Raw genomic sequence first — 22,439 nt, 5'->3', positions numbered from 1 at the left:
CAGTATTAGGAAAGCCATTTTGTGAGAGGGCTTAGAATTCAGAGGTGTGTGGCAGCACAGCCGCATCTTCAAGATGGAGGCCAAGGACAGCCTGTAGCTTTACATCTTAGAGTTTCACCACATGCAGGTTGTCTGGGAAAATCACCTTTGCATTTTTTTTTATTACTTAAAATAGCTCCTATATGTTTGATGTCTAGATCACAAATTTTAAGAAATTATAGGAGCTGAGTTTGGTACATCTAAGAGCTGAGAGTGAGTGATACTGAGCCATCTGCAAAACTGCTGGTGAGAGATACAAATTAAAAATCTTCAGCCATCTGTGTGTGTAAGAGGAAACATATAAATACACATTTCTCATTTGCCAATTACACCTTCCCTGGTATAAGGGGAAGAAAACGACTTGGCATCTGATGTGGGGAGAATTATTGCTAAGACCTGGAGGCAGGGTACTTCTTACTGCTTCAGGCCTGAATTTAGGTGGTCATTTGGGGTGTGCAGGACAGAGCACCTCCTAAGGACCTGAGAGTCCAGTCAGTGGGGAGGCCCAGCTCCCCCACCAACTGTGTGAGGACAGATCACCCACTTCCTCACTTGGGGCTCTGGTTTTCTCTTCTTACTACCCGATTCCAATGCCTATTGTGTCTTTTAAATCCTCTGTTTTAAAAATGAATCTTAAGCTCTCTCGGAGGGTCCACCAGGCCGTGCACCTCTATTCCCAGTGACAAATGACACCCCTTCCAGGCTAGTCTCAGGATCCAGTAGGATTCCCTTTGCTGATCTGTGCCTTTGACCTCTGCTCTGCCACTTCTGTTTTACCTGCAAGGGGCATGACATACAGGGTAGTAATTATGAAGTTCTCCCAGGCAGTTCCACCAAAGTCCCACATTGTACAAGGGAAGGCATACACAGTTTTAACTACCTAGCCAGGGGCAGCTGGCCTTTCCCCAGGCCCTTTAAAACACCTGTTTGACCAGCCTGTGGGTCCTTTCCCATCGGGGTTCCAGCTTGAGTCCTGCTGGTAGCCCTTGGCACAAGGCCTGGTAGGCAGCCTGGTGCTGCCATGTACCAAACTCTGCTGGGGAAACCTCAGCCACAGCAGATGCAAACCCATTAGGTATAGCATGGTTCAAGATATTTTTGCTTGTTTCAATAACACTTTTGTTCTTGATTTTAAGGGCTATTTTAGAAACTGCTTTAAAATATTTTTGAAAGTATAAAGAGGTGAATAAAACATACTCCTGTTCCACTGTGCAAAGATAGTCACTGTTAATGTTTCTTTCCAGTCGTTTTCTATGCATAGTTTAGCCATGACTTCTCATGGGGACAAACCCACTGGTTTAATTCAACCCCCAATGTCAGGTTTTTATAGGTCAGCCCAGAGTTCTCAAGCCCAGTCACAAAGCAGAGCCAGGACTCAAATTCACACCCTGTGACTGAGCTGTTTCCACTGTACCATGAGACACTACCCACAAATCGCTCCTTCTCCAGTATCTATGACACGACCATAACAAACCATACCCCTTGGACAGATATTCCTTAAAAAAAAAAAAAGTTTCAGAAATAGCCAACCAAATACAAAAAGTTTGGATGTTTTACTTTAGCAGTGGTGTGGAGACTCTGGTGTGCTCTTGTATAGAAGCGTAGCATGCAGCTAAACCCAGTGCCCTGGAAACCTTCTTTGCAGAGCATCTGTGGACAGGGGTTCTGGAACATGCTCTGGGAGACATGGTACTTTGCAGTTTGTGGCAGACCCCAGGCCTGTGTCCTTAGATCTGGCAAGGGAAAGGCAAGTCTTTGGTGGAGATGTATAGCTAGAAAGGGGCCCCTCTTCTAGGAAAAGAAAAACACAGTTCCTTAAAAACTAATCTAATTCTGCCACAAATAAACAGGATCCGTTATTCACACAGTGAGGCCATCCTCAGCAGGGAGAAGACAATGGCAGAGTGGAGATGCTGGTCAGGTTGCTTAGCAGATCATTTAAAGCAGTTGCTTTCCTAGTAGCTTTGTCCTGAATTGGGTTTGGGAGATTTAGAGAATACATCATAGTAGAGACAAATACATCATATTGGTGTGCAAGTCGATAATTAGCACACCAGTCGACTTGAAGAAGAAGGGTTGGAAACCCAAAACAATTATTTTGAGGCTGCAAATGTTCTGACACGTTGAGTTTGCGTTCAGTTGAGTTTTGATGGATAAGGCTCTGCCTCTGGGAGAACCGTGTATGCTTTCTGAGAGTGGAGAGAGGCTTACTACGAACTTGGTCAAAATTCCTGGTGGTGACACATCATAATGCCAACTTTCCAAGGGTGTGGCTTGGCTCCAGCTCACGTTGGAATCACAACGCAGCAGACAGCTGTGGAACTCCTCGGACACAGGGCATTGGAGGGCCCAGGAAGATATACCGTGGCAGGGGAGTGGGTCTGTGTTTGGCATCTTGTGCTTTGCAGTGAACCAGAGCTCACTGTTTCTGTTTCATCCCCGCACCACTAGCTGCTGTCAGCGCAGGCCATGGCCTGCCTGCCAAGTTTGTGATCCACTGTAATAGTCCAGTTTGGGGTGCAGACAAGTGTGAAGAACTTCTGGAAAAGACAGTGAAAAACTGCTTGGCCCTGGCTGATGATAAGAAGCTGAAATCCATTGCATTTCCATCCATCGGCAGCGGCAGGTAGGGGCACATGCTTGTTACGTATCGGTCATGGGTGTGTCTCTCTGCGCACACATGGCCCATAATTGTGGTGCTCTCACTCTGTGCAAGGCCCACGGAGGCTGCCTTAACCAAGGAGACCAGAAGCACAACACAGGGAAGAATGCAGACATTAAATGATGGTGAGGGACAATTAGAGAGACCCAAATCCCAAGGATGATATAAAACTTAAGTTTTGATAGCAAATGTCATCACAGAAGGGGAACCCAGTGTGTACTGGGACCACAGAAATGGTACCTCAGAGAGTAAGTTTTGAGGGGCACAGTGACTTGGGTGGAGAAGATCTGGAGGCGTGAATACAGGGATACAAACGAACAGCTTGGCTGTCTCAGAATAAGGCTATAGCTGTGTTATGGTCTGTCCCCCAAACCACAGTATTCTTTGGATAAAGCCCTCTGCCCCTTTCCTTTCTACTCACAAGTATATTTCACCTCCTGAGAACCTGCATCTCTACCTGACTCCCTGTCTTACTGCCCTAGGGTAACCCTGCTGGCCTGCTAATGAGGTAATGGGACCTGGTGGAACGGAATGGGGAATTACGTGAGATTGAAACAGGGCTGGGCCCTACTCCACTTCCTGTCCCAGAAAATCCCCAGGTAGACTCACCAAGGTCTTCACGACCAACACAGTTGCCCCTAAGACATACACATACCCGGAGGACCACCACAGGAGAAGTCTAGTTTTTCGACAGCTGATGATGCAGGTAGGGCTCAGGGCAACCCCCACAATACCTACCTGGTTGTACACCCCACACATGTCAGCAAATAACCTATCAGGTTCCTGCCTGTTGGAGCAGCACTGCACTCTGGCTTAGGGGTCAGGCCTGGAGTTGCATCCTGGCTTGGCCACTAACCCGGTGAGTGATGACATGTAAATTAACCCCCATTCTGAGAAGTTGGCATAATAATCCCCCCATGCAGTATCTCAGGGTTGCTCTAGAAATTAAAGGAGCTCTTAGAAGGCAGAGTGCTTTCAGAAGTGTGTCCCATGATGCAGACATGAGGACCTGTCAGGGCAGAGCCACCTCTGAGATTGTGTCCCACTGCCCATTGCTAGGGTCCTCCCTACCAAGGGTCTAAGTCCAAGAGTCCAAGGCCTCTGGAAGGCTCGAGGTCTGCATTGGGCACTGAAGCAAAGAGAAACTGGCCTTTAGAGGCTGTAGCTGTTAACAACTTGCGCCCAAGAGGAGCCATAACCTGGGGTTCTGTATTGGCAGGTGGCTTGCTTTGGACAGAGTACCTGCCACTGCTCCTGGGGCTTCCCATCCCAGCTTGTGAGCCTTCTGGGGTCTCTGCCCATCAGCCCCTCCCAGCACCCAAGGAAGGCAGGGCTGTGCAGCATCAACTGCCTATGACACTGCAGGCTGTCCCTTCTGGGCGAGCCTGAGCAACAGTCCTCAGAACCATGTCCTGAACTGACAGCTGCTCTCTGCAAAGCACTTTCCTTCCAAACTTTCTAGAGGATAGAGAGTAGATTTTGCCATTTTCCGCTTAGGCAGGCCTCGTGATTTTGCCTCCTGCATGCTGCCATCACTGAGGTCCCACACCTCAAGTACTGGTGGCAGAACTAGTACAGAGTGGGCTTCCTGTCACTTGACATTCTGCCTAGTAAAAGGCCTTGTCCACAGGCAGATGGGCACTGCCACCGTTCCCCAGGGCTTTCTATGGCCAAGGCCATGTGTGACTGGCAGGACCCACCAGTACCAGGCTCTGGGGAAAGATCTCTGGTTGCACCTGAACCTTCTCTGGAGCCTGTATCACTGCCCGCCACCCGCCGCCACCCCCACTTCTCCCAGTCAAGGGCAAAACAGCAGAATGAGCATTTCCCCAGCAACCCCTCACCAGTTGTTGAGCTATGGGCAGGCTTGCCTCCCCCTTCCCTGGCCTCACATCTCTGGGCTGTCTGGTCCTGGGGTTCTGTGAGTGAGGCCCCTCAGCTCTCCTATCCTGTGTGACCTTTGGTTAAATGAATCAGCCTCTCTGCCCTGGTCTGCCTTATCAGCAAGTGAGGCTATAGGGACTGCCCATCCTCACAAATGGTTCTGAGGCTCAGTTAATTAGTGCTTTCAATGCACTTTGATCTGCTCTGATGAAAGGTGCTTCCGCAGAGGGAGGCAATAGGAAACTTTATTGGAGGTAATAATTTCACAACCTTTCATATGGGTATTGGGAAATTTTTAATTGAAGCATAAAAGTAATTCTCATAAAAGAGCATCTGTTATTACAAACTTATTTACATTTTTCATGGAGTAAAAAGTAGGAATAAAAATAATCAATTGAAAGCTTGAAGAGGGGGAAATGCCTAAGGCAGCACATGTGTACAGCTACCCAGGCCACATCTGCCAGGCAGACCTCACCCCATAGAGCTGTGTAAACAGCTGCCCTCTCTTTCATGAGTAAAAAAAAATGGGATTACACCAGAGCCGGCCAGTAAATCACAGTGGGTTTTAGGAGGGGAAATAAAACAGCTTGTTTGTTGCATCCAGTGTCTCTGGCACGGAAGTAATGTTGGAATTAAAACAGTATAAAGGTAAGCATGTTGGGAAAGAGCCATTGGTAAAGGATCACTCTCTTAGCTGAGGCCCAGTGGCACAGCCTACATGGATGGAAGATGACCATAACCACACCTGTGTGATGGCTCCCTCCAGCCTGTGAGGCCCTGGCATCTGGACATCCTGTCCTCAGCCATTCTGGTCACGATATTTATGGATACCCCCACTCCCTCAGCTCTGTTTCACATTAGGGGTGACCCCTCTCCAGAGGGGTAGTACATAGGGAATACTAGTTTGGGGCTTTGATTAAACTTTCCTTAGATTTATAAGCTTAAAAGGAAAAGCTGGTTTATTTTTTTCAAGCTACTATTTATGGGTATGTGTTGAGCCCCAGGCGCGGTGCTAAACCCTTTATCTGCATTATCTCACAGCAACCCTACAAGGTGAACAGCATTATTCCTTTCAAGGGCAAAGAAACTGAAGCATAGAGGGGTTAAGTAAATCATCTGAGGTCACTCAACTTGTACTTGGTAGAGTGAGAATTTGATCAGAAGCCCTTCGCTTCAGAGCTGTTAGGCTCATGGAACCCCTGCCTCCCATCTCCATTGGTCAGCCAGACCCCAGGTCCCACCACCTCATCCCACCATAGGACTGCCCCCTGCCTGCGTACTCTCTGTGCATAAAACACTACCTGGGAACTCCCTGACCTGCCCAAGTATAGCCATCAGCCTCTTTCCCCTCCTAAGCATTGGCCTCAGAGGTGAGATAAAAGGACAGAAACTCAAGAGACCTTTGAATGGGGGAGAATTTTTCATTTACCCAAAGCCCGGGGGCCTGGAGTGGGAGGCCACTTTGGGGCTGCCCCATCCCCTCTCTAGCTGCAGGGGGCACAGCTCAGGGGAGTGGTGGCCCCATCACCATCGCTTCTGAATGTTCTCCCTCCTGTATACCATTGCTCTCGGCTCAGGATCCTGATGACTTGGATCAAAGTGGCCTGTGGCTGGGGCAACTTCAACCTGGCAATTACTAAAAAATGGTAAAGGCCTAAGAGCAGCCCACAGCACAGTGCGAGGGGGACCTAATCTTAGCAGAAGAATGTCTATACCCTAAGTGACAGACAAAGAATACCAGAATCCACCTCTACTCCTCCCCAGCCGTCAATTGCAAGCTCGCAATCTGTCTGCTCCAGAAAAATCTCCCTGGACTCCCAGGATACAGCCTCTCCTGCTGTGACTCTCTGAGGTCCCTAATGAGCTCCTAGCCTGGATTTGCTGCATACCTGCCTGGCCCCAGCCCTGGAAGGTGAGCTCACTGAGAGCAGGGGTGCTTAGTGAAGTCCCACTCAAGGAGAGGGCTGAGAAGAGCTGGGATGTGGTCCTTGGTGCACCTAGAGTCCCTGCGTGTCCAGACAGGACCGTGGGACAAGCATCCAATGCGTACACCCCCCAGCCATTACTGAGGAGGCTGACCCAAGAGGGCATCTTGCACTGGCCCTGGGAAACTGAGGTCCAGGACTCTTGGGAAAGGCAAAGGGCATTACAGACACAACTGGAGTGAATTTAGGGAAAGCTCAGATGTCTCTTTAGTCTGCTTAAGGTCCTAGCCCTATGGTGTAGGAAACTCTTGACTCCAGAGGAACTTAAGGAACATGCCATAAACACAACCCACAGGCCAGGTCAGGGGCTGAAGAGAGAGTGGAAACAACAAACAGTGCACGCATCTCCCAGGTGGGGCTGATGGTGGCCGCAGTACTGGCAGCCTCATCATCACCACCATTGTCATCACTGCACAGACCCCTGAAACACCTAATTTCTAGTGGAGGAAATTAATGCTTAGAGAGGTTAACACCCTGGCCCAAAGCAGCTGGGATTCAAACCCAATTCTGACTCTAGAGTGGAAGCCCTTAGTCCCTCTTGCTCTGCAACATCTGATCTGAAAGATAGGCAGCACAGCTGTAGGACAGAGTGGCTGGCACAGAGGCCAGGCCAGGCAGGAATGGCTATTCAGAGGGGCCGTGGTTATGCAAGTAGCAAGTGAACCCAGCTGAGAAGCCAAAGATGCAACACCAGTGGGCATGACTGCTCCTGAAAGCAGTCAGTACTGCACTGGGGAGCCTCTATGTAGCCCCTGCTGCTGCATGCCCACGGTCACGGCCAGCAGCTCTCTGGGGTCTGAGGCCAACATTGTTAGCACCGTGTAACTGCAACGACAACAGCAGTTACCCAGTCACAGCTATCCCAGGGACGAGGGTGGAAGGGGCAGTTTTCTACTGCATGAGCCTTTTAAAAGACCCTTCAAAGCCACCTACTTTATAGACAGCTCCTCTTAACTGAAGACTCTCTGTGCCATGCCCCGGTGCTTTGCATTTTCTTGTCCCAGACTCTGATTCCATTTCACAGGATGGGGAAACAAGGCACCGAAGTGGGACCACAACTCAAATCCTGTGTGACTCCGGGAAATCCTGAGCTCTTAACCACTCTGCTTCTCTACCCTGGAGGGAGTAGGGCTGTCAGGCCACCCAAGCCTCAGAGGCAGACCTGGGTCTGACCTGCCTCAGCTGCTGCATGTGCCACCGCTGCCTCTGTCTGGAGGCTGCAGGGCTGTGTGTGGAGTGCTCTTGCAGGGCATCCACCTACACATTCCATTTTGCTACAAGCATTCTAACTGGCAGCAAGACATTTTGAGGCCCACCAGAAAACGTTAGGAAAGCCGTTACCTCCGCCATTCCTTCCTGGCAGCCTGCGCAGTCCAGAGCAGCCACAGTCCCATAGCAGGGTTTCTTCCTTAGGCTGTAGCTTCCTAGGACAGAGGGATGGATTTGTCAACAAAGGGTTGTCCTGGAAACAAATCCAGATTCATGTTCACCCACCAACAACCCTGAAATGCTTGCAAGGCCAGGGACATTCCGGTGGAACCGTCTGCTCTCTATTAACGGGACGGTAGGCAGGTGTGGGCACTGCAAGTCTAAAACATTTGATACTGACCTCTCTCCCCCACTTGCAGATCCTCAACATCTGGGTCCACCCTGCCAGCTTGGATTATAAAGTCCATGCTGGCTATTTGTAGAACAGCAGTTCTCAAAAGCTGCTAGACCTGCTGAATCAAACTGTTGTGTTTTGACAAGCTCTCCAGAATTCTGATGCAGGCTAAAGCTTGAGAACTATTGATGTAGAGGAATAGAAAAGAATATTTCCTCACTGAAAGTCACATACTCTTTTGTAAGGGTCCAAGGCAGAGGCAAGGAAAGCCTCAGGAGGGGTCTGTGTCAGAAAGCACTGGTCACAGGCAGGAGTGACTGGCACACTTTTGGTGTGTTCCAGGGAGACCCCTTGGGACCTCCCAGTCAGCATGGCATGGCATGGGCATGGGCCAGGCTACACTGTGTCTGCATCATACCACATCTCACCCAGCTTGTGTGGGATGTAGCTAACCGTTGTTGGAGACAGCTGCCTGGGCATGCAGCCCGGCTGCAGCTACAGAAGCCCTGCCCCAGGGCTAGCTCAGCTAGGCAGAACATCGGGCCACCTGACAACTGCTGTTTGCAGTAGCTCCACAGGCCCTCAGCCCAGCCCAGCTCCCTGTGCACGTGTGAGGCTGAGACAGGCAAGAGGGCACCTCACTGTAGGGACCTTGGAGCTGGCAGAGCATGGTCTTGGGATTCACATGCAAAATGCAACTTCTCACAGCTCCTCTCAGCACCCTGCAGCCCCCGTTGATCCAGGTCACATCCACAGACTGGGCTCTGCCTGCTCCAGAAGCCCTTGGCCCCTAAGTACAGGCTGCAACAGGACCGAGGATCCCAGCCCACAGTTAGAAGCAGCCTGAGCTGCTGGAAAGATGCCCCCCAAAAATGGAAGATTGAGTTTTTATCTCCTCAAGCAATTCTCAACGTGGCTCATTCCAGATAACCTGTCCTCTGTGCTCCTTGACTCCTGTGAATATAGTCAGGGCAGCTCTGCCTGGTGTGGGCCAAGATTTCAGATCTGCAAACAGCACTGGTGCCAGAGGAATGACCTGCCCACTCTCAGCAGAGCCCTTTTCTTTCACTATACATGCCGCCCTCCATCCTGGCCCACCTGTTAGTCTAGTCTAGAATCACCAGGGTCTCCCGGGAGGAAGCTGCGCAGGTCTAACACCACTCTCGTGGCCAGAGCGGCTCTGGAGCTCTGACCCCTCTCATGGGAAGAGTTGTATGCGCTGGCTGCTCTGTGGCTGAGGAGCTGCCGCCTGTGTGTGAAGGAACCCTGGGTTGCCCCCCACTAATTGCCCGCAGGCTCCTTCACATAGGCTGGGGGCACATCTCTTGTCCTCTAAGAGTGAACTCCACTCCTGAGGCATCCAGAAGCTCCTAAGTCTCCACCAGCCGGGTGAAGCCGTGTGTGGTCAAAAGCAAGTCACAAGAGGGTTTCCCCTGTGGCTGTGAAATGCACTGTGCACTGTCAACAGTGGATCGCTGAGATGTTCCAGGGCCAAGCCAGGAGGTTCAGAGTGCACAGGCATGCAGTGAGTGAAGCTAGCAGTACTACAGTAGATACCCACCTTACCACCTCTGGAAACCCCTCCACCTGGCAGCAGGTGCCTCATGTGAGGGAGAGCTCCAGCTGAAATAGGCGGGTTGGCCCAGCGCTTTGGACACCAACACGCCCACAGGCTCAGGCGGATCTGTGACTGTAGATCTGCCAATGAACAAAGAGCCTACCCATGAGAGCTGGCCCCAGACTCACCCTCAGTATCCTTAACTGTAAAATGGGACCAGTAAGGGATGTGAATCCAGGGCCACTGGCTCTAAACCCAGGTTTTCACTAGACCAGGCAAGCTGCCCATCTCCTCCGGGGTCCCCTGGGCTACCCACATGCCATGCTGACCAGGAGCAGCCTCAGGCACACCACAGAGCAGTGAGGGCCAGTCTTGCCAGTCCTGATTTCACATTTTTAAGTCCAGAGCACCTACCTCCAAAAATTGCCACGACATTTATTTGAAGTGGAAATGTGTGTGGATTCAAACACATTTGGCTTGGAAACTTGGATGATAGCCCAGAGTTGAAGAGCCCACAGCTCCCTGCGTTCTGGCCTCTGGGGTGGTACCGCTGGTGTGTGTTAGAGGGTGGATTCCTGGGCGGTGGCCCCTGGTGTGAAGGGGTAACTCTTCTGTGTGGGTGGATAGAGGTCAGTGCCTTCCCAGAGAACCTGCAGCCATCCCCTGGGGCTGACATCAAGAGCCTGGGCTATGGCTCAGGCACTGTGCTAGTCAAAGGTATCATGGAAAAAGAAAATCAGGAGCTTACACTGTACTTCGGGGGCTTAATGCACACCACAAAACACTATTCTGTTTGCTGGCTACTGCCTTCTCTAAAAGCACATAGCACATCCTTCTGCAGGTGCCAGCTCTCTGCCCAGTTGTCTGTCCCCCATCCCATCTTCTGGGCACTGGGCTTTCCCACACTGGCGTACAAGCAGACACGGGGCTCAACAGACACCGACCCAACACAAGGCAAGCTGCAGCACAGAGGGAGGTGGCCTGTAAGGTGGGGCAGGTCCTGCAGCCCCCGTGGCATCCCAGTTGCTGAGTGCTTATCTTCTCTTCTCCAGGAACGGTTTTCCAAAGCAGACAGCAGCTCAGCTGATTCTGAAGGCCATCTCCAGTTACTTCGTGTCTACAATGTCCTCTTCCATCAAAACGGTGTACTTCGTGCTTTTTGACAGCGAGAGTATAGGCATCTATGTGCAGGAAATGGCCAAGCTGGACGCCAACTAGGCTGAGCAATGACAGAACCAGCTGCACCATGTACCCCACCTTCAGTTTAAAAGAAAAAAAAAATCCCCTTCACTCCTACTGGGAGGTGGGACCCCTTTCATTTTCAGTTTTGCTCATCTAGGGAAAATAAGGCTTTGGTTTCCAGTTTAATTGTTTTTGACCTTCTAAAATGTTTTTATGTTAGCACTGATAGTTGGCATTACTGTTGTTAAGCACTGTGTTCCAGACCGTGTCTGACTTAGTGTAACCTAGGAGATTTTATAGTTTTATTTTAATGAAACCCTGATTGACGCACAGCAGTGGGGAGAACAGCGTCTTTTACCTGTCACCGAAGCCAGGAAGCCCCGTTTGTAAGCGTGTGTTGTGGTGCTTTATTGTACATCCTCCAGTGGCGTTCTTTTTACTCTAATGTTCTTTTGGTTTCCCCCCTCAGAAGAATCATGAATTTGCAACAGACCTAATTTTTGGTTACTTTTTGTCTTATTGATGGATTTGAAAATGAAAGATTTAATAAGGCAAAGCAGAATCTGTTGTCCTTAATTATATTTGCAATTTGGAATTTGTGTGAGTTGATTTAGTAAAATGTTAAACCGTTGTTGTGACTGGTGTGTTCCAGTTATTGTGCCCGTGAGTCACAGGTCTTAAGTCGGCTTCTGCAGTCCCAGGATGTGGGGGCAGGGCAGTCCATCCCCCTCAACCCCCACCCTGCTCCCACAACTCCTTGGATGCTCCACAGTGTTCACTGCAACCTGGGTGGGTGTGGGCCATCTGCTGGCCCCAGTGGTTTGTAGAGAGAATTTTTATAAAGTCTCACCTTTTGGTTCTGTGTGACCCTTGGGCCAGGGTGTTATCCCCATTCCCCGTTCCACAGATGAAGGAGGGAGTGTATCCAAAGCCGTGCAGGTGGCATGTGGCAGGCTCCAGACCCTGAGCCCAGCTCTCTCCTACCATTGTCCCCTTCTGACAGTCTGTGACTTAGGGCTGGGCCTGGCCACTTGCTGATGAAGCTGCTGGAGCCTCATTCCCTCTGCCGAGGCTGCTGGGTCTGTCATCCCTGCAGGACAGGATCCCTGGCAGAAGGGTGCGTGGAGCTTTCCAAGGAGAAGCCGCCACAGCCAAGGCTCCTGGGATGTGCTGGCAGCTTTCACGTGCCTTCTCACCGCCAAGGCTGTTGAGGGATGTTGATTATCTAGGAAGACCTCAGCCAAGCCAGAGTAGCTAAAATATATGTTAGCAAAACATGGACACTTTTTGCTTCAAAGGGCACTTACACCTTAACCTAAATTTGCCTAAAATACACAGAAGACTCTTTCCGTCTCTTGAAAGAAAGAAAGAGGAAAAAAGAAAAGAGAAAGAAAAGAAAGAAGCCTGCGTCTAAAGCAGACTTTAACCAGGAAGAAATATGCAGTACACTTCATATCGTGGCCGAATGTAAAGGATCATTTTTCCTTCCCAAACTGTGCCTAATACAAACTCCTCAAAACAGAAGGTCCTAGACCATCACACAACCAATCTTTTCCATGAAAGGCAAAGATTTCCAACTTAAACCTGAAAGTTGATTTTTCAAAATTTTATCTGAACATAAGGAGTTATGTTACGTTTCTTTTCCAAGATCTTTGCTGGGTCTAGATTATGTATTCCTATTTCTTGATTTGAAATGAGAGAGAACGGTGGAGGAGGTGGGGGACTGCATTATCTTTTTAAGAAGCTGATCTTAAAATGATACCACTTCATAGTTAATACCAGCAAACTGCTTAGTCAAACCATACTATGCGGCCCTCCACCCAAGAGCATTGTTTGTGCAGGTAGGATCTGCAGTGTGGATGGAGGGTAATGGAAAATTGTGGCCACTGTTAGCTGGTCAGACTGATATTTACTGTATGTCAGGTACTGTGCTGAGTCCTTCATGGGTATCATTTCGTTTGGTCCTTGCAATAACCCTATAGGGCAGGTCCTATTATTAGATGCATTTTTTAGCTGGAGGTGATCACACTGCTGAAAAGTGACAACCAGATTCAAATGCAGAGTTTCTGACTACTGTGATATAGGGTCCCGGATGGCACGTGCTTACCAGCAGCCAAAGAGAGTCCATTTGGCCTTGGAATTTCTAACTCAGAGACTGAAACACAGAGGGACTTGTAGGTGGAACCAAGGTTTAAATGACTTAATTGGATGGGCTTACCTTTGGAGGAACACCATAGAAGCAAATGTGTTTTTCAAAGATCTTCCACTAGATGTCACCAAAAGGACTGAGAACTAGAGAAAAGGGCTGCGATTTCTGCTCTCCTTGTAAGATTGCACAAAAGAATAAATTGCATTTATCGCTGTTTGCATGAATGATTTACCATAATCACCTAAATGTTTCTAAACTTTGAATAATCCAAAGTGCATCATGCCCTGTGATGTGGGCACACTGTAGAAATTCTTTTCAATGAAACTGAGGGAAAGTGAGCCAACAAGTTGCCTGGGGTTCCCACCATTGCTAAGCCACTCAGTTCGTTTTTAAAACTGGGATCAAAAACTGTTCTCTGATGTCAGCCTCATGCTTTAAGGGGGGAAAAAAGCTCATTACTTTTAAAAAATTGGTGCAACTGCAAGGAACGTCTTGAAATGCACACATGCCTCTATTCAAAAGACAAGTTTGCACTTAGTAAAACTTAACAGAAATGCAAGTATTTTGTGAGGGGGTAAAATCCTGCAGGTTCTAGAGAGGTTAAGTGTTGCAGCCCAGCCCTTCTCTTCACTGTAAGCCTTCAGAGGCAGGCTTGCAGTGGGTGTCACCGACAGAGCTGTCCCATCCACTGTCGCTGTGCTGAGTCCCCCCAGCCTCCCTCGAACTCAGAGCCATGCAACCCTGTGATCCAACAGCAGCATTAGGCAGACAATACCCACTCCCATTCATTTCTCAAGAACAATTCTTGCCCTCAACAGCTGGGCCCTGCCCTGAATAATCCAGACGATTTTCTCAGTGCTCCTCCATGGGCCCCTTTAAATGACATCTGAGATCTAACGCAATGCTGTGGCTCCAACTGGTACTGAACTGACAATAACAGCCACTGTATGTGTGTGTCCTCTACATACATCATTGACTTCTCATGGCAAACCTATGAGGTAGGTAATACTATCTCTGTTTTACAGACAAGGAAACTATGACACAGAGAGGTGAAGTGTATTCCCTAAGGTCACACAGCCATGAATGGTGGAAGTGGGATTTGAACCCAGCTCTGACTCTACAACGAGCTCCCTGGAGCTGAACTCTCCTTTGCTATCCATCCCAATATTTTGTTCTTCAGGTTATACAGGGCTTCTTACGTGCTCACTGGGAGCTCCTGTGTGGCTGGCCCTGGGAACATAAACAGAACTTGTTGGATGACAGATGAATAGGAATGTGCATTTAAAGCAATCCAGTGATCAACAAGGACTTACTAAATGCTTTCTATGAAAGAGGCCTCGGATTAAGGGTTTCTTACAAAGGCAGGTAAGCAAGCATTGTCCAGCAAGCACTAAACTCAGAGAAGTACCTGCTAAAAAGGCAGGGGCTCAGGGCAGGGAGTTTTGCTCACTGGCTGAGCAGGCTCAGGGAGGGCTTCTTGGGGCAGAAAACCTAGTGCTGAATTTGATAGGAAAGGTTGGAATCTCCCAGGTCAGGAGGGCAAAGCAATGGGTAACAGATGGCAAGCTGGCATAGAGGCTGCTCTATCAGCCCCAGCTGGGGAGCTCCTGCACCCTCTCTGTGGAGAATCTCAGTCTTCACCCGCTTCCCACCTAGGACAGCCACTTCAGCCCTGGCCTCTGCTCGCTACACGCCATCCCCAGCATTTGGAGTTGTCTATCCATGGATTTGTCTGTGGCAGAATTCCCCCTCCCATTCAGGGTCAGGTGACTGTATTTGGTCACAACTACAGTCAGCCCTGCCAGAGGAATTGGCTTACACTAAGGCAAAAAAAGAAGAGGTGGGTGTCCCATTCTCACCCAGCGTCCTGCCCCTCCCAGTCCTGGGGGTGGTCAGCCTTTCTCAGGAGGTGGAAGCCCTCACTGGGCCTGTCCACTCTGGGCCTGTCTACTTTGGGTCAGGCAAGCCTCTCAGTTCCTCATTTGTCACTCAGGCTGCCTCGTCCATCACCCCGAATGGTCCTGGAAAAAGGGCTTGCTCAGTTTACTCATTAGCAACTATGATGTTTAATTTTTGCTGCCGGGCACTCCTGGCCGATGTTATCTTGGGAGCTGGCCTTGGTGCCGCCTTCCAGTGATCCACCTGAAGGCGATGGGGCGAGGAGGGAGTCCTGGGACCCACTCCCTGCTGAGAAGGGGAATGCTCAATGGCTGGGGCGAGGCCACCTTTTCTTCGCCTTTTCTTCCACTTATAACTTGCCTGTTGTGTTTGCTTCTGGGGGCCCCCCATATCAAAACAATATCACATGAGCCTCCTGACAGGCAATAACACTGCTCATTAATCCCCAGCCCCCGCCCTGCCCTCCATGCTCCTCCGCAAAGGTGTGTAAATAGAGTGGCCTTTCCCTGACCCTGGAAACCAACCCAGCCTGGGCTGCCTTGTCAAACTCACAGAAGAGTGTCTTAGAAACACTCTCTCCATAGGAAGCACTTCCTCCTCACTCCCCTTCTCCCCACTAAGCGACTCCCACCCCTCCCACACTCACCCATTTCCATGGGTGCACACGCACACACACATACATTCACGTGCACACAGCGAGGCCCCAGAGCCCTCTGTGTTAGCAGAGTATAGAAATGAAGAACATGCAGACAAACACCCTTTGAACCGGCCAGAGAGCAGCCAGGATTCTGTCTCCCACAAAACATAGCTGACACTACTCCTCCAGAGGCCCTCCTTGGCCTAGTTTGCTCTGTGAAGTGACCGGAACTGTCTGCAGATCTTCTGCTAATAACTCCCTTGGCTAACTTAGAACAGGGTGCCGGGACTCCCCAGCGTCTGATGGGGGACCCAGCACCCACAGCAGAGGACAGCAGCCACTCACCACCACAGTCTGCACACACTCAGTGTCTGCATGAATGTGCCCTAGAGCACTCCTAGCAGGTCGTGTACTCCCTGGCAAGGAAGCCCTCTGATGGCCCTGCTGGGCCAGAGGAGGAAAACAGTCCCAATGTCACAGGTTAAAGGTCACCGCCTTGGCTTCAGGTTTGTAACTGCTCCTTGAGGAGAGTAAAAAGCTGAAAATCCCAGAAAGACACCCTCCAAATCTTATGTTCAAAGCCCTGAAGCCAGAGCAATGATCACTGAGTGATGATCACTGGCATGGCCCTAGAACACATGCAGGCAGGAGGTCAGATCTGCCTTGCTGGGGAGTCTCTTCCTGTCCTGAGCCCTGGGACAGGCACCCGGGATCCCCACATCAGGAGTCACACTATCCCCCATTCCCATATACACCCTTCCCGTCCACCAGCCTGGCCTGCTAGGCCAGAGCCCAGCTTCTTCTGACACAGGGTGATGGCACGTCCCCTGCTGACCACCACTGCTCACCCAGGTCGGGCCCCAGGCATGACCCTCTCAGCTCATCTCCCTGTTCACTCTCTGGCCAGACTGGCTGGGAAACCTGATATTTCTGTCCCTTGAAACGACAAGGCTTCCTAAGCTTAAGAGAATAAATTAGAGTTGAGTTCAAGTAGGCTCAGCTGCGGCGGATGGGCAAATTGATTTGCTTCCCATCTGGGAGATTAAATTCCAGTGCCCAGAAATGGCAGTGGGGTAATGAGCTGTCAGTCAAACGGCGCAGAGCCAGGGCCGCGCACGTAATTGAAAGCCAGCAGCTCCTCATTAGGTCCCATGGAGGTCCTGGCTGCAGATTCCCACCTCAAGGAGGCCGCTGGACCCCAGAGAGAATGCACTTGGCCGCGAGGCCACATCCTCTAGAGGGAAATGCCACCTTGGGCCACTGCTGGGCTAACTTTAAGGAACTTTCACTGAGCTCAAGGTGCTTATGATATATTTCTCCGCAGTCACTAACAGCCCCTCCAGGATTTAATTATGGGCAAATCCACTGGAGATTCCACCCAAGGGGCATCTTTTTCCAGGGGGCCCTCTCCTGTCCTCCTATGTGTCCCTAGTCATTCCGGGTCATCTCAAAGGGCCACACCCCACTCAGCCCTTTACACATACAAAACACCCACACTCACCCTGCCCGTGTAATCCTACAACACCTGCAGATAGTGATGGCAGTGTCTCCATTTGATAGCTGAGGAATCTGAGGTGCATGGAAGTTTAGAAGTTGCCTTCTAACACCTTGGCAGGCCTGGGAATGGAGAAAGGAGGGTCCTTTTCAGCCTCATCTCACACCATCCCCTCGCATGCTCTCTACTATACTTCCTCCCTAGGGCTACTCGTATCTCACCTTGAGGCCTTTGCATACACCAGTTCCCCACCAGAACACACTACAGCCTCCACTTATTTGTAATCCTACTCAACCCTGCAGGGCTCTGCTCTTAGACATCCCTTATGCTTCCTCCAGGAAGCCCTCCCTGACCATTCTGTCAGTGGGGAGGTGCCCTCTCTCTCAGTGCACCCTGCACTGCTGCCAGCCACAGTGCTGTGCCTTCTGAACAGCTGTCATGTGGTTACGTGGCCATCTACCCCATCAGATGCTGAGCACCACTCATGCACACATTCCATGAGCCCACTGGGCCAAGCTCTGTAATAGACTCTGGGGACAAGCAAAGGAGACCCTGCCCTCCATGAAGGCAGAAGCTAGGGGCCGCACACCTGCTGCGCCCTCACTGCCTCACCCCAAGGGCACAGGGCAGGGCAGGGGTTTTCTCTTGATGGCTCTAAGAATCAACAACAGGACTCAAAGGCCAAGCAGCAGGCAGAGGGCCTGACTCAGAGAGAGGAGCATGGGAATAACATGCCCATGTGAAAGTCAGCCCGGGTGACAGCTGGGGGTAACCCATCATGCTGGACCTCTCGCTTCAAGCAGGTGCATGGTGGCTTCAGAGTGGAGTCTGATGTTGGCACCAGGCCACAGCTCGGCCCCATCTTGCCACTGCTAACCACAGTCGGGGTCTCATGGCATCTAGTGCTTCTGCTCTTGCAAGCTCCTGACTTGAAAAGGGAGTGGACATGGGACCTTCCTGGATAGATGCCAAATCCAGTGTCAATCAACAGGGAAAACAGTGGGCAATGTCTGCAGGAGATGCCTGTGAATTACAGCAGCAGAGATCCCTGCCTGTGTGCCAGTCAGCGTGGGTGGGCAATAAGCTGAGGAGTCTGCGTGCATCATTTCATCAAATCCTCCTAAAAGCCCTGCCAAGGGAACATCATAGCCCCGCTTTCTAGGTAAAGGGAGCTTAGATCAGAGAGGTGAAGTGACTTGCCCAGGCCACACAGCAGGAACCTGGCAGAACCAGGACTCACAGCCAGGGACCTGCGACTCTGTGGTCAACTCTCTTTCATCCTGGTATGCTGCCTCCCAAGGGCCTCAAAAAGGACGAGAGGTTCGGATGAGCACCTCGTCCAAGACCAAAGAGCTGGAGAGAGGAGGACCCCGGGCAGGCCCTGAGAGTCTGGGCTTCCTTCTGGGCCTCCTGGGTAAAAAGACCAGGGACCCCAGCAAAGCCCAAATGGACACACAACGGGGCCCAAGTTCTGCTCCTCCCAGGTTGGGGTCCCGGCCCGGGCCTTCCAGTAATTAGTGCGCCCTTGTTAAGACTCAGTCGCGCCATTCCCGGGCCAGGACTTGTTTTTGTTCCCATGCGGAGGCCCTCGCAGGAAGGCCAGGCGCACGTGCGCAGCCCCATAAATCCAGCCGGCGTCGCTCATTACAAGGTTCCGCCTCACGGCTCCGCCTGCCCCAGCCCGCGCGGGCTTCTCTGGGACGGGCCTCCCTGCAGCCCGGCTCGGCTGCCCCGTGCCGCCCACAGCCTCAGACATGAGCTCATCCAGCACGACGCGTGTGAGGAGGTGGCGGGACGGCGCTCTCACAGCAAGGGGACAATGTGCCCATTAAGGCCTGTCAGCCTCCCCGCCGCCGACCCACCCACCCTCTGAGCAGGACCACCCCACTCCGGGCCCTGGCCAGCCTCTGTGGACGGTACAGCTTGAAGCCAGTTTTGGGGGATGTGTCCCGGGTGTGGCCGTCCACCCAGTGAATGCCACAGGAAGTCCAACAAGGCAGGGAGGACCTGCCTGGCGGGAGAACTGGGCTGGGCAACAGAAAGGCCCCAGACGGCCTTGCCTCCCTGCAGGCAGATTGGCCAACTCCCTGTGGGATCTCAGGCAGGTCGCTCCATCCCTCGGAGCCTCCATCCCCGCAGCTGTAACATGGGAAGCTACTCACGGCCCAGGCCACCCCGCTGTCAAGGGCATTGCCAGGAATAGATAACAGGATACAGGGAGGCGTCTCACCATCCAGGGGGCCCCGTAGAGGTGGCCTGGGTGGGGTGTGGTGGTGGGGGGGGCCAGGAGGGAGCCAGGTGAGGGAAGCACTGGGCATCTGCACCGGTGACCTTGAGCCTCTGCGCTTGGCTCTCCTTCAGTAGGAAACCCGGCTGGTCCTTTACTCTGATATGAGGAGCTGGTTTAGAGGCAGGAAGAGGTAGGCCACCATCGCGTGCGCTTTGGGACAAGTCACCACCCCTCTTCAGGGCATGTTTTCTTCTGTAAAATTGAGTTGGCCACACAGCATCAGTCGGAAATCCTTAGTGGATGGGAACCGCGACTCTTACTTTGATTCCCATGGAGGGTGGAAGCTGTGTAACTGCCACATCTGAAACCCAGGGTCTGGCTGCAGTCTGTGCTCCAGAGCAGCCAGCTCATGCCCAGGTGGCGATCACTACCACACCCCATCAGAGCCCATCTTTACTGCATGTGGCCAAGGGTGCTGGAGGCATCGGCCAGCCCCTCCATGCAGCGCTGTCACAGCTCAGAGGGGAACTGGGCAACATCCACTTGGAAGGAACATTCTAGAACTGCACTAATACAGTAGACACTAGTCACGTGTATTTAAACTAAAGTTAAATACAATTAAAAATTCAGTTCCTCATTCACACTAGCTACACTTCAAATGCTTGGCAGCCACATGTGGTTAGTGGCTACCATGTTGGACAGCAATGATTATAGACATCTCCAGCATTGCAGGGAATTGCACTGGTTAGCTCTGTTCTAGAACACTTAGCCATGGAGCCCTTCAGGGCGACACCCCATGTTTTCCATATCATTTGATTCAGTGTATGGAGCAAAAGCCACAACCAAGGCATTTCCCCCAAGCAAATGGTTCTATGCTAGTAATAACGATGACAGTGATATTATGATGCTAGAAACCATAACACCCATGGACTGAACATTTCTATGTCCCAGCACAGTGCTGGGTGCCCGACATTCACATCACATTCAACTCCCTCCAAAAGATTTTATCATGAGTGACACACCTCTATCTTACGGACTCAGACAAGCTAAGGAACTCCAGCAAGGCGGTGTCGCGAAACTAGCTCTGACTTCAAAGCCAGCCTGCCTCTCAGGCACAGAACCTGTCTAACCTCTTCCTGTGTTTTGAATAGATGTGCACCCAGAGGGATGACTGTCCTTTTAAAAAGGCGTCTGTGTTTCCCTTCCTGGCTTTCATTTAGCTTTGAACACCTCCTCCTCTCAGGAAAGCTCAGACTTGTTTGAACCTGGGCTAAAGGTCACTCAGGGGCTGGTGTGGAATTTCATGCCCTAGCCAGGCCTGCAAGGGGCCAATGAGGCTAGTCTGGTCCCACCAACCATCCCCAGTTTCTAGAGGGACCTGCTCACTGCCTGGCTTCAGCCACCTGAGGCCAGGTACCAGGTACCCTGGGGAGTGCGAGCTGATGGACTGAGGCCACAGCTGTACTTGCAAAACCCATTCAGTGACACAGCCCCCTGCACGGGTCAGGTCAGCAGAGCTGAGAGGCACGCAGATGTCAGGTGGATGCCCCGATGCATACGCACGTGCCTGTGAGCAGCGATGGCCCACATGCTCCTGCTCAACGCCATGGTGTGGCACACACGAAGGCATGGAGAGCAGGACAGGGTGGCCGTGGCCAGGCCCTCGGAGTGAGCCCTGCACCTGCATCCACTAGGCCACCCATTAGCTAGTGGGTGAATTAATGAGTGTTAGGCTCTGGTCTCAACACCTGCTGGGGTCACCTGGTCACCCTGCAGTAGCCTTCTGCAGAGCTCATCGCTCTGGGCCACAAAACGCCTGTCCTGCCATCCCCAAACTCCTCTAACTATATCCTCGTGGCAACCCCAAGAGACTCGCATGCAGAGTTAGGGACCACCCTCCAACTTGACAGATGTGGAAACTAAGACCTAGTGAGCAAACGCTGTTTCCAAAGCCCATGACTGCCTCCCGGGGCTTGTCCATGAGGCTCGTCACCTCTCCCTCAGCCGTCCTCTCCAGGGTGTGTCCCACAGGCGCGCAACTGTGGGCTCTATGGCTCCCAAGGCCAAACGAGTTCACCAGAGGGACAGCTCCAGGTGCCCTCCTCTCTGCCCCAGGCCTGCCATCCTCCCTCACCCCTGCAGGCCACCCCAGGACCCAAGTCACCAGGGAGGATGATTGCTGAGCTCATCTGGCCTGAGTACTGCACACAGGACATTTCTCCCACAGACACCTGCTTGTTTAGAAACCCCAAACGCCAGGCGGCCCAGCAGGCCCGGCCCAATATTCCCGGGCACGGGAACTCTCTCACCCTCATACCCCAGAGGGCCACATGGGCCAGTCAGTCTCCAGCAGGGACTCACCAGAAACAGCCCGGCAGCCTCAGAGCAGCCTTCACATCCAGACCCCTCTGCCCACTGGCATGAGCCTGCCGCAGCTCTATCTTAAATAGGCTCACACCTCTGTGCTGAAGGCTGAGGGAAGCACTGCACCCCCACAAAGCCTGATCCTACGTTTGTCTCGCTGAAGCCCTAGGGCTCCAGTTTAAGAGACTTTTTATAGACTCCTATAAAGGAGAAAGTGAACTTTTAACATGTTTGCACTCCACTAAGTCAATACGCATAAAAGGGACAGCAGCTGAGCTTCCGCTGCCCACTTGCAGTCCAGCAGGGCTGGAGGACCCTGTCAGTGCCATCCAGCTCTGTTGGGCACCTGTGGCTGCTTCTCCTTGCCCATGGGCCTGGAGCATGGCCCCCAATTCATAGGCTGTCTGTCCACCAGGGCCATGGGCGGGCACTAATGAAGCCAGAAAGCCCCCCCTCAGCTGGGCTAATGGGTGGCTCCCGCCCTCGTTCAGCCAAGACGGCCCCCCAGATGCATGATTTTCATGGGAAGATTTAGAGGAGGGGAAACATGGAAGCTGTAAAGTTTTACTAGGAATTCTCAACCATCCTCCTTTGGCCCCGACATTCATGCTGCCCTTCATTTTTAAGAGAGCTTCCTATTTGCTTTGAACTTACCCCTTAAAGCTAAGCAACCCTGTGCCCGCCTCCAGGATCCAGGGTCCAGACTCGGACTCCAAAAGTGCCTGCCTACCCAGAAGGAAGAGAAGGAGACT

At 51.7% G+C, this 22,439-nt stretch overlaps 1 protein-coding gene and 1 long non-coding RNA gene across 29 annotated transcripts in view, besides 1 other annotated feature; one reads left to right on the top strand and one right to left on the bottom strand.

Annotated features, from left to right (window-relative positions):
- MACROH2A1 (macroH2A.1 histone) overlaps positions 1-11,544 on the top strand; it is a 65,507-nt gene extending 53,963 nt beyond the window's left edge. For 21 of the 28 annotated variants that reach the window (NR_174487.1, NR_174499.1, NR_174496.1 and 18 more), the window contains 2 exons: positions 2,491-2,665; positions 10,784-11,544. Coding sequence is in view for 9 of the 28 variants with exons in the window: in XM_011543730.4 (XP_011542032.1) it covers positions 2,491-2,665; positions 10,784-10,949 (341 nt within the window). In the remaining 19 variants the exon portion in view is untranslated. Of the gene's footprint in view, positions 1-2,490; positions 2,666-6,349; positions 6,498-10,783 lie in introns of all 28 variants that reach the window. The other 7 variants (NR_174486.1, NR_174497.1, NR_174498.1 and 4 more) reach the window with 1 other exon arrangement.
- The window catches only part of PITX1-AS1 (PITX1 antisense RNA 1), a 311,407-nt gene continuing 290,212 nt past the window's right edge, over positions 1,245-22,439 (bottom strand). The window contains exons 4-6 of the long non-coding RNA NR_161235.1: positions 11,764-12,167; positions 7,912-7,994; positions 1,245-2,770 (exon numbers count right to left, since the gene is read on the bottom strand). This is a non-coding gene — a long non-coding RNA (PITX1 antisense RNA 1). The remainder of the gene's footprint in view (positions 2,771-7,911; positions 7,995-11,763; positions 12,168-22,439) is intronic.
- Positions 2,287-3,486: an enhancer, noted in NCBI's record as "CDK7 strongly-dependent group 2 enhancer chr5:134678129-134679328 (GRCh37/hg19 assembly coordinates)". NCBI's record gives its function as "activates an origin of replication core promoter dependent on BRD2, BRD4, P300/CBP, MED14 and CDK7 cofactors, with strong dependence on CDK7, by STARR-seq in HCT116 cells {active_cell/tissue: HCT116}" and the evidence as "EXISTENCE:reporter gene assay evidence [ECO:0000049][PMID:35650434]".

The sequence above is a fragment of the Homo sapiens genome, chromosome 5 (genome assembly GCF_000001405.40).
Source record: "Homo sapiens chromosome 5, GRCh38.p14 Primary Assembly".
NCBI lineage: Eukaryota > Metazoa > Chordata > Mammalia > Primates > Hominidae > Homo > Homo sapiens.
This window is presented reverse-complemented; position numbering and strand designations above follow the sequence as displayed.